This window comes from Homo sapiens, chromosome 7 (genome assembly GCF_000001405.40).
Source record: "Homo sapiens chromosome 7, GRCh38.p14 Primary Assembly".
NCBI classification, from domain to species: domain Eukaryota; kingdom Metazoa; phylum Chordata; class Mammalia; order Primates; family Hominidae; genus Homo; species Homo sapiens.
In genome coordinates, this window is record NC_000007.14 from 105,088,877 (window position 1) to 105,101,104 (window position 12,228).

A 12,228-nucleotide genomic window follows, 5' to 3' on the forward strand; every position below is an offset into this window, starting at 1 on the left:
GAAACATTAAATTTTATCAAGGTAGCTTTTTAAAGAAACCCGGTTGTTGCTATCATTCTTTAAAGGGTAAGACAAACTAGTTGAGGTTCAGTATTTGTTATACTTAATGTTTCTTATGTAGGTCACATTTCAGTTCAGTATTTTATAAAGCACTCTGGGATACTGAAGTAATTATGGTTTCTGCCTTAATGTTTTGTGTAAACCACAGTATCATTTTGCTTTAAAAGACTCAAAGTTTTAATGTGTTTGTTTTTTTCTTCTTCTGTAATATATTACATGTTGAGCATCCCTCATGCAAAAATCTGAAATCCAAAATCCTAAACTTTTTTTGTTTTTTTTCTGGATGCAGTCTCACTCTGTCACCCAGGCTGGAATGCAGTGGCACAATCTTGGCTCACTGCAACTTCTGCCTCCTGGGTTCAGGCAATTCTCCTGCCTTAGCCTATCGCGTAGCCAGGATTACAGGTGCCTGCCACCATGGCCAGGTAATTTTTGTATTTTTAGTAGAGACGGGGTTTCACCATGTTGGCCAGGCTGGTCTCAAGTGATCTGCCCGCCTTGGCCTCCCAAAGTTCTGGGATTACAGGCAAGAGCCACTGTGCCTGGCCATCCTAAACTTTTTGAGCACTGACATGATGCCACAAGTAGAAAATTCTACACCTGACCTCATATGATAGGTCACAGTCAAAGTGCAGTCAGAACTTTGTTTCAGGCACAGAATTAGTAAATATATTATATAAAATTACTTTTAGCCTATATGAAACATGAGTGAATTTTGTGTTTAGACCTGAATCCCATTCCCCAAGATATCTCATTATATATATGCAAACATTCCAAAATCCACAACCCTTCTGGTCCTAAGCATTTCAGGTAAGGCATGCTTAACCTGTACCAGTTATACTTATGATTGAAGGCCTAATATCTGGTCAGAAATCAACATCTAATTATTATATTATTTTAATGAAAAAAATTTTTTGTGGTAGTTAACTAGGAATGTAAATTACTAAAAAGGATTGCTTATAATTAATAGTAATTGCATACAATTTTGTGGAGTTGCAGCTTAAAATGGATTAGAAAATTTCCAGTTTTGTTTTATATTTTGAAATAAATATTTAACTGGTTATCTTTCCAGTAAGTACAAGGTGGACTGTGCATGCCTCAAAGAAAACCCAGAGTGCCCTGTTCTAAAACGTAGTTCTGAATCCATGGAAAATATCAATAGTGGTTATGAGACCAGACGGAAAAAAGGAAAAAAAGACAAAGATATTTCAAAAGAAAAAGATACACAAAATCAGAATATTACTTTGGATTGTGAAGGAACGACCAACAAAATGAAGAGCCCAGAAACTAAACAAAGAAAGCTTTCTCCACTGAGACTATCAGTATCAAATAATCAGGTACTGAACTCTGCTCTCAATGAAATTGAATAAACAAAGGAAAATAATCTGTCATATTTTATCCTCTTCTTTGTTCTATGTATAATTGTTTAAAGTATTTTTAAGTCCATTCTGTCATTTAATGAAGTATTCATAAGTGTAAAATACAAGTTCTGCTAGAATTTGTACAGTATTTGTTGAATTATTAAGAAACAGCTCAGCAAGCAAATCCTTGCAGAATTGCAGACAAGATTTTCCTAAGACTAGATAACTTTTAAAAATCTTCTAGATGGCACTTTATGTTCATAATAAATGTTCTTATTTAAAGTCTTAAGCTGCAAAATTTTCTTTCTTTAAACATGTGGATGCTGGTAATCTTATAAATTCTATAAGCATGTCACAATAACAGCAAATAAAATTTTTGAGAGAAAATTCACTAAGAACATATAAGGTAATTTTGGGGGTAAAGTCTGGCCAAAGTCTACCTGCCCCACCAGTAAATATATTGTTATATGTCCTCTATAAACAAAAAACAGGAGGGATCATTAAAATGTGAAAATTAAGTAAGGTTTTGCTCATTTCCAGGGGCCTATCTTCTAGAAATGATTTCCCTTAAACTTTCAACTGAACAAACACTTTTTGAGCACTGGGTATTTGTGGGTTTTTCTGAAATAATTTATATGTTTATGTTTTGGGAACTTTATAAATGTAAGGCCATGCTACCATATTTGACCTATATTGATAAAAACTTGATTGGCTAAAATTTAAAAAGCGAAAGTATTTGATTGCATAATTTTGAAAAGTATCTTGAATTAGGAAACCAGTTTTAAATTTCTTAAATAATTTAAATAGGCTGTGTACATGTTGAATTTGTTGTGGTTGAAAGACATTAAAATAGTTTAATGTCACTAGTTGTATAGATGGAATAATAGTTTGTATAAAGAAGTCATTTCCATTTTTCAGGAACCAGATTTTATTGATGATATAGAAGAAAAAACTCCTATTAGTAATGAAGTAGAAATGGAATCAGAGGAGCAGATTGCAGAAAGGAAAAGGAAGATGGTAAGTTGGGAAGCCAGTAGTTTGGGCTTAGTGACAGCTGCTCTGCATATGGTAATTGTTGCTGCCTTTACATGGGCTTTTACATTATTCTTTGAAGTTAGCGAATGATGTGCCATTGAGCATTTTTATTTGGTTTGGTCATTGCCATTTAAATAAATTCCATTAATCTTGTATTTTTATTGGTTGTTCATTAGAGATTTAAGAATGTATGACATTTAAGAAATATGAACATTTTGGAAGTAATAATATTTTAATAATGCCACACTGAACTATTAATAAATTTTAATGCCACAATTACTGTTCAGAATGTCTTTTATTAGCTAAATGTATCCTCTCATGATTTGAAATATAATAAAAGTACAAATTTAAACCTTACTATAGCACCAAATAAATTGCTTATGCAAAAAAAAAAAAAAACCTACCACTGGTAGCTATTTCTACAGTCTCACACTGCTATCGTACAATAAGGTTCTCATTAAAATAAATTTAGGATATATATTCCTTGTACTATTTACAAATCTTTTATCTGTATAAAAATTAGGACAGGATATTTTCTTACAAATTATGGTAATTTAGCATTTGATCTGTCAGTGAAGGTAATTTAGCATTTGATATATCAGCCAGTTAAGAAAATATGGTATACTTTCCATGCCCTAAAATTTGAAAATGACTTTACAAACTGACTGATGGCCTTATGATAGGTGCTCCCCATTCCCCTTTACTTTGTATGGTCCTTTGTGTCCTGTTTTCAGGGTTTCTATGTTGTATTCCATGGACTCTCACGTCACATATTTAAGGGTGGGATGTTTGAAAGGTTGGTCATTGTTGGCTGGGAGCGGTGGCTCACACCACTCACTTTGGGAGGCCAAGGTGGGTGGATTACCTGAGGCCAGAAGTTCAAGACCAGCCTGGTCAACATGGCAAAACCACGTCTCTACTAAAAATACAAAAATTAGCCAGGCTTATATTCCCAGCTATTCAAGAGGCTGAGGTGGAAGAATTGCTTGAACCTGGGAGGTGGAGGTTGCAGTGAGCTGAGATCATGCCACTGCACTCCAACCTGGGTGACAGAGCAAGACTCCATCTCCAAAAAAAAAAGTTTGGTCATTGTTGACCTACTTAATATGTGCCTGTTTGTATCACCTTGATAGTTTTCTAATATTGATGAATTATTGATACTCAAAATTCTGAAAACTATAAAGAACTGTTTCAGAGCCTTAGGATTTTAGGAACACTGGTCTGTTGAGACAAGGTAGTATTAGAAGAAAAGCAAACAGAAAATATTAGAGGAGTTTATAAAGGAAGAATTCTTGTACCTAAAGGGATTATCTTGAACCTTTTTTGAGATTCAATTATATATAAGTTATGTGTGCCTTTTCAAGTTACCTATGGCTCTTTATTGAGTATTGATTTTTAGTATTGTTCTGTTTATTCTTCAACTGACACAGCCTTGTGCTGGGAATTTTTAGGAAACCAATTTAGAGTATTACTTATTTCTGTGTGTGGCATGTGTCTGGTGGGAGGAACCTCTTCTGTAACTGGCTTTAAGGGCTGTAGTGACCACTTTGGAGAAAAAATGAAATAAAAAAAAATCATAGGCCAGGCGTGGTAGCTCACACCTGTAATCCCAGCACTTTGGGAGGCTTAGGTGGGAAGATCACTTCAGCCCAGGAGTTAGAGACCCACCATGGGCAATATAGCGAGACCTCATCTGTACAAAAAATTTAAAAATTAGCCAGGTGTGACAGTGCATGCCTGTAGTCCCAGCTATTCAGGGTGCTGAAGCGGGAGGATCACTTGAGTCTAGGAGGTCAAGGCTGCACTGAGCTGTGATCCTACCACTGCACTCCAGCCTAGGTGATGACAGAGTGAGATCCTTGTCACAAAACAAACAAACAAACAAAAACAGAAAACCAGTGGGGGTTTGTTCTTTGCCCGTAAATACAGTAATTTTATTCAGATTGAATTCTCTTTAAAAACATTTGTATGGGGCTACTTTAAATATATATTCTTCTGTAAATGCTGACAATGTTAGTGGATCTTAGAACATCCTCATTTCCAGATGCCAGAAGAAAATTGGATATTTGCTGGGCGCGGTGGCTCACGCCTGTAATCCCAGCACTTTGGGAGGCCGAGACGGGTGGATCATCTGAGGTCAGGAGTTCGAGACCAGCCTGACCAATATGATGAAACCCCATCTCTACTAAAAATACAAAAAAGTTAGCCGGGCATGGTGGCATGTGACTGTAATCGCAGCCACTTGGGAGGCTGAGGCAGGAGAATCACTTGAACCTGGGAGGCGGAGGTTGCAGTGAACTGAGATCACGCCATTGCACTCCAGCCTGGGCAACAAGAGCGAAACTCCATCTCCAAAAAAAAAGAGAATTGTATACTCAATGTTAAACTTGGTGGAACTTAGAAAATATATATGTATATTGGCTTACTTACTTGGAATCCATTTTTGGTCCTGATTTTGCTTATTAGTATGCTATAGTAAGATGAAGAATACTTCAAAGTTTTTATATCCATTTTAATATATTCTGTCATCTGCCACTAAGGTGGATATGAAACTGAGTATTTTTCATGGGAATAAAATGTGGAAAACTTGCAAAGTATAAATGTCTTTAATTTGGTATTTCGAAAGGATATGAAATTAAAATCTAAAAATCCTTGGCTGCTGACCCATAGCTCTCCAAGTTATCACAATTGTTACTTCTAATTAGTTCATTTGCTTTGATGTTTGCATTACAGAATTTTTTGATGTAGTCAAATAAGCAGAATGAAAAATCATGCATCCTAGGATTCCTAAGCAATTAGTAGAGTTCCCCACCCCCAAGTATTAGTATTATATTTGGTTTTGAAAAGTTTAAAATGAATCACCTTTTATTTTCCTAGTCTTGATTTTTATATTGGTTAGATTAACATCAGTAGTCAGAAAGATAACGTCAAGTCAAAAAGTGACAAAGAGGGACAACTAATACTAGGTAGAATAAAGATGGTAGCATACTACTCTTGAGAAACTTACGTCAAACTGATTTAAATTTCCACCTGTGACAAGATAGACTTCCAAACCATTATGGAGATACAGGTTGAGTATTACTTTTCCAGGACCAGAAATTTTCCAGGATTAATATTTTGGAATATTTGCATTGCACTTACCAGTTGAACATCCCAAATCCAAAAATCTGAAATGCTCCAATAAGCGTTTCCTTTGAGCACCATGTTGGCCATCAAAAAGTTCTGGATTTCAGAGCATTTCAGATTTAAGATGTTCACCTAGACTCGGTATCATGTATTTATCAGATTGGAATACGACGAGTCAGTAATAACATCCTCCCAGATAAACTCCATGTAATCACCAAATTTAAATGTACAGTAGTCCCTCCTTACCTGCAAGTTTGCTTTCCCAGGTTTCAGTTACCCACTGAGGTTCACAATATTAAGATATTTTGAGAGAGATATCACATTCACATAACTGTCATTACAGTATATGGTTATAATTGTTCCATTTTGTTATAGTTACATATGTATAGCAAAAAACAGCACTGTATATATAGGGTTCAGTACTATCTGCAGTTTCAGGCATGCTTTGGTGGTCTTGAAATGTATCCCTTGTGAATAAGTGGGATCTACTGTACTTCACCCTATCCTTTTGTAGTACAGCTTGAAAAATACAAAATTGGCAATTTTAACCTGTATACATAATTTCATATACCACTGATTAAAATCATGCTGAATTTCCAAAAAGTGCACCAGGGTATTTATGTATTTTGGTTGTTGGCTTCATTTTTTTAAATGAGAATGGAAGATAAGGCAGTATCTCTGCTTTTAGAAGTATTCACAAAAATAAATACAACTCAGCAATAAGTGAAGGAAATATAAATATGATACATAGCTTATAGCTGGAGAGAGATCAGATTGTCTCATGAACTCTAGGTAATACATGTTTATATTTATGTATATTTAATATATTTTTGTATTTATATTTATGATGGACCTTTTGAGTAGGGTTTAACCAAATACAGGTTAGCTTATGACAAAGTTTCATGGAATGTATTTTTCCAGGGGGAAATCTTGGAGAGAGCTGTAAATATATTTGGTTGGGATTATAGGCTGTTTTTGGAGGAGGAGAGGGCTACTAGGGAGATAAAGTTGGCTATAGGTCACACAAAATACTCAGGGATGAAGATTTCATGAAAGAATATTTATGTGGCCAAGATGGAAGGCCTTTTCATTTCCAGTTCCATTACCTCTACCCCTTTTGGCCTTTTGGATTTTTCTTTTATGAACATTTTCTTTTTCCATCCATGATATTTTGTCTTTTTTATCCTTAAGAAGTCGTTACCTGCTTTTACAAAAGCAAATTTGTGGCTAAGTTATGTGGAACTGCATGGTTATTGTACGTTAGGAAAATCTTACCATAAGCCCAGTAGACTGAAATACAGTAGACTGTTTATACTCACTAGATTCCAAAAACCAGGGCACTACTGAGTGTCCTCCTAGTATATTTGTGGAGGTGGGGCTAGATGGCTGTAATCTTCTCATATAAACAGTACATGTGGAAGGGGATTAGATACTGGGGGGTATACCTGTAGCTTAAAGTGATCATTTTAAAAGCAGCAAACTTCTGAAAGATTTAAATACTAAAAGAGACTTGTTGCTGGGCTTGGTGGCTCACGCCTGCAACCCCAGCACTTTGGGAGGCCAAGGTGGGTGGATCACTTGAGTCCACGAGTTCGAGACCAGACTGGGTGACATGGCAAAACTCCATCTCTACTAAAAATACAAAAATTAGCCAGGCATGGTGGCACATGCCTATAATCCCAGCTACTTGGGAGGCTGAGGCATGAGAACCACTTGAACCCAGAAGAGGAGGCTGCAGTGAGCCAAGATGGCATCACTGCACTCCAGCCTGGGTGACAGTGAAAGGCTCAAAAAAAAAAAAAAAAAAAAAAAAGACACTTCCTCCCCCATTTATAATGGCATGAAAACTGTCTCCTTTGTAGTTTTAAAATATTTCCAAAATAATTTTTCATAACCCTCATAATGTACTTTGGGAATACAATCTTGGTAATATTTGATGGCCTATATTATCAGATTGCTTAAAATTGAGTCCACAGAAGATGATTCAGTGTGGTCTTCATATTTAAAAGGACGGACATTTGAGAAACGGTGAAAGGGTATGACAAGGAAGTCACGTAGGCAAGAGATTCCTGGACTTGTCAAGCAGGTATTATAGTCTAGTCTGGAATTTTTATACCACCACAACATAAACTTCATGAGGGAAAAAACTTTCAGTTTTATTCATTGTTGTAGCCCTAGCTCCTAGGGGAATAAAAAATGGTGGGCAAAAAAGTAGACCATCAATAAATGAGCTAACTGAATGTTTATAACAACCACTTGAGGAAAGATAGACAGACAGATACAGGCCCATGAATGTGAACTGAATGAAGCTTCCCTGTAGTTCAGGTAATGGATGATCTGGAGGCCTTGCCCTGAATTGTGCAGGATTCCCCACAATTTTCTCGGCTTTCATCCTTCACATCAAGTATTCCACGCAAGTATAATTTGAGATGCTTTGTGAAAAAGAGCCGTGACCAGTTTACTGTGATGAGCACTATACTATATTCTTCCTTTTCAGATTACCAGTGTACATGTGTTTAAAAACTTGACACAATTGTCAGATTTTCCTAAACTTGTATACCCTTGCAGTTTCTTGTGGATAACACCTTTGACCCCCACAGAGTGTTATTCAGTGGAACAGACTCTGTGGGAAAACACTGCAGAATCCATGCTGTTACTAAATGTCTCTAGGAAAACTTGACTGACTTCATTTAGAAAATCACTTTAGAATATGCAATGCTTTAATAATAAAATAGGATAAGTTTGTTGCCAGAAAAGTCATCTGGTGACAGGATTTGAGATGTTATCCAACTCCCTGTTCTGTCCTCCGTTGATGCTGATTTTTTTTGTAAGGTCCTGTTTTCTCTAATTGTAGAGACTGGGAATTTTATTTCTAAAGATAAGTAATTAATGACATTGTGGTGTTAGTGAAAGGGAACCTGTTTATTATTTTTTTCATTTTTTTTGAGACGGAGTCACACTCCGTTGCCAGGCCTGGAGTGCAGTGGCACAATCTTGGCTCACCGCAACCTCTGCCTCCCGGGTTCAAGTGATTCTCCTGCCTCAGCCTCCCAAGTAGCTGGGATTACAGGTGCCCACCACCACGCCTGGCTAATTTTTTGTATCTTTAGTAGAGATGGGGTTTCACCATGTTGGCCAGGCTGGTCTTGAACTCCTGACCTTGTGATGATCCACCCACCTCTGCCTCCCAAAGTGCTGGGATTACACGCGTGAGCCACTGTGCCCAGCCACCTATTTTTATTAGGTACTCAGTTCAAACAAAATGAGGTTAATCAGCTTTAACTGCCTTCTAATAAATTCAAGATTTCCAAAATTGTTGAAATGCTTCCAGTTAGTTACATGTCTTTAAGTAACGTGATACGTGCTTGACATAATGTACACATGGTTCTTACTCATTTAAAAACAATGTGAGTGCTTGCCATTTGAGATATCGGATGAGCAAAGAAGGAAAGGTCACTGCTCTGGAAAAGCTTTCGTAGAGAATGGGGTAGAGGAAATAACAAACGAGTATCAAAATAATAAAGAGTGCCATGAGTATAAATTCCATCATCACATGATAGAGGAAATGGAGACACCACACAAGCCATACGTGTTATTTTGGAATGATTTTTATTAGTAACAAATAATCTTACCCATCTTTTTAGATTTATAAGTTTATCTTTGTTATATAAAAGGGTAACAAGTTTTTTTGAGCAAGGAATCATTTAATTTCTCTATTTCAAGACCAAAGAAGAATAGGGTGATTTTGTAGGTGGGCTCTGGCTTTCCTTTTCCTATTTTTTTTTTTTTTTTTAGATAAAGACAGGGCCTCGCTCTGTTGCCCAAACTGGAGTGCAGTGGTATGACCAATAGCTTACTGCAGCCTCCAACTCCTGGACTCAAGCAATCCTCCTGCCTCAGTGTCTGGAGTAGCCAGAACTACAGGTGCATGCTACCATGTTCCACTAATTTTTTTGTTTGTTTCCTGAGACAGAGTCTTGCTTTGTCACCTGGCTGGAGTGCAGTGGCGCAATCTCAGCTTACTGCAACCTCCACCTCCCTGGTTTAAGTGATTCTCCTGCCTCAACCTCCTGAGTAGCTGGGACTACAGGCGCGTGCCACACCTGGCTAATTTTTGTTTTTTTAGTAAAGACAGGGTTTCACCATGTTGGCCAGGATGGTCTTGATCTCTTGACCTCATGATCCACCCTCCTCGGCCTCCCAAAGTGCTGGGATTACAGGCATAATAAACCACTGCGCCCAGCCTAAATTTTTTTGTGGAGATGGGAGTCTTGCTTTGTGATGGGGATATTATTAAGCAGACTGCTTATAGGAAATTACAATGCTTGGTATTTACTCTTGGAAAACCATAAACTAAGACATATGTCATAAAAACAATGTATAGATTTCATGGGAAATCTATCGAGTTTAGATTATATAGCACAGGTGTTAGGGGCTATGGAAAGTCTGCAGGGGTTAATTAGGAATCCTAATTTCTCTATCTCCAGAGTCAGCTCTAACTACCTCAAAGAATAAAACTTATTTTTCAGTTAGAGCTATAAAATGGGAGGCAAATTTTGTCTTTAAATAGGTACCATATACATGGCTGTGTCAAAGAATGTACTGTATGTAATGGTGACTAGAAAAGCTGAATGATGTATGACCTTTAAGAAATTAAAAATAAATGTAGAAAATCAGGCACGTTTATGTTCCAAAATATTTGTGTATTTTAAGATAAAGCTAGGTCTAAAGCTGTTAGGAAATGTTTAGTGCTTAAGCTTTATTCTTACCCAGCTGTAGTAATGTAGGAAGAGTTTTGCTTTATGTAGCGGCAGTAATTGGAAAGAAGAGTAATACAGAAACCAGGAAACCTGCATAACCTGCATAGTAATTATGGCTCTGCTTTTGAATGAGTCACTTAATACACATGGGCTTTGGTTTCTTCAGCAGTATTGGACCACATTATTTTTTAAGATCCTGATCAACTCTAGAAGATTATGAACCATCTCTAAATACAGGATTTTGCTCTGACTATAAATTAGCTGTAGTGTTTACAGGGGAGTTTGATTTTTTAATTGAATGTTTATATCATATAGTTTTATCTCTGACCAAAACAAGAAAATATTTCTTGTATCCCAAACAAGAAAATATTGGACTATGTCAGACTCTGTTGGCATAAATTCATATTTACCTTACAACACCCAGGATAATCATACTACAAAAAATATCTTCCTTGGGTGCCCACCTGTGGGTAGTTTTTTATTTTACACATACAATGATTTTTGCCAAGACAAGTTTGTTTCTTCTGGAAAAATGTACTTTCCCCAAATTTTTTATTTTAAATTTTTTGAAAAGAAATAACCATAGTAATTAATCCCTCCTCTCCAACCAGGTTCATCAGGTAAAGCGCAGTTTGGGAAAATGATCTTTTTAGTTACTCCAAATTTCTCCTCTTCTACATTCAGGGTTTTAGAGAAGCCCTGATAAAAACAGTTTTACAGAGAACCACAAGACAAAAAGGGGTAAAGGTAATTTAAAAGCCCAAAAATAAGGAATTTTGTAAGGAAAGAACTCAGCTGTAAAACTTTCAGTGCCAGTGAACAAGTAGAACCATCTTTTGCATGTGCTATTGTAGTGTTTGCCCGTCCCAGACTAGGAGAAGTGAGATACAGATACGTAATCCATGAACAAAGAACCTTACCTCTTTGGACCTCAGTTTCCTCAGAGTCATGTTTGCAATATGGAAATTTGCTGTAACAAATTAGAAACTTAGAAGTATTATTAGAGTACTTTTGTTGACATAGTATTTTGTTCCCTTGCTGAGTGTAACAACAACAACAAAAATACAGGAACAGGTAAACAGTAGTTTCCAAAGTGTAGGTATCTTGAGGCTTGAATCTCTGCTGGTAATTACTGGAACTAAAGCTCCAATATTGAGAAGACTGTGGCATCCAGACCTTGAGTTTCTGATCTTTCTTCCTCACATCGATGTGTAATAAAGGAGGAAAGACAAATGGATCTGAGCCTCAGGACCTGTGGTTCTTTTCATTTTAAGAACTGGACAGTTGATGGATGTGGTTCCTGGTTCTGGTTTAGAGCTGAAGCATCTGTCAAGGCTCTGGGTCTTACTCTTAATGTTCTCTTTGGATAGAGAACTGATGCTCAAAGGAACACTTGGCTGTTTCTCAGTCCCTGTCTTGAATTGTCAGTGAAGACAGGAAGAGCAGAAGGTAGAGGAATACTTTATAAGAATTACAATGGAGGGCAAGAGGACTAAAGTAGAAATAATAATTAACATACAGAACGCCCACCATTTTCCAACTACTGTTTGAAAACCTCGTATTTTCTGTTGGAACCAAATAACAACTCAGAGAAGTTCATCATAAATGAACTTCTTGCCAGACTTGAAAAGAGAGAAGAGAACAAGCTTTGGAAAGGATTTTATTACCCACATCTTACTGTCTCAGAAAGGTTAACTTGCCTGGAGTCACAGAGATACTTACCAAATGAGAATCATAATTTTTAAATGCAAGACTTTACCTCACAACATCCTGCTGCAGTATGCCAATAATATACTCACTCAAGTGCATATGAATTTTACCTTTTCAACATATCATTACCTTAGGGATTTTGGATCTTTTTTTAAAAGGCTGATTTCTGTATTATT

The 12,228-nt window shown here is 36.7% G+C and overlaps 1 protein-coding gene across 7 annotated transcripts in view; it reads left to right on the forward strand.

Moving 5' to 3' along the window:
- KMT2E (lysine methyltransferase 2E (inactive)) overlaps nt 1–12,228 on the forward strand; it is a 100,815-nt gene that overhangs the window by 74,672 nt on the left and 13,915 nt on the right. For all 7 annotated transcript variants that reach the window (XM_011516400.3, NM_182931.3, XM_005250493.2 and 4 more), the window contains 2 exons: nt 1,133–1,397; nt 2,340–2,438. In XM_011516400.3, coding sequence (XP_011514702.1) covers nt 1,133–1,397; nt 2,340–2,438 — 364 coding nt within the window. The remainder of the gene's footprint in view (nt 1–1,132; nt 1,398–2,339; nt 2,439–12,228) is intronic.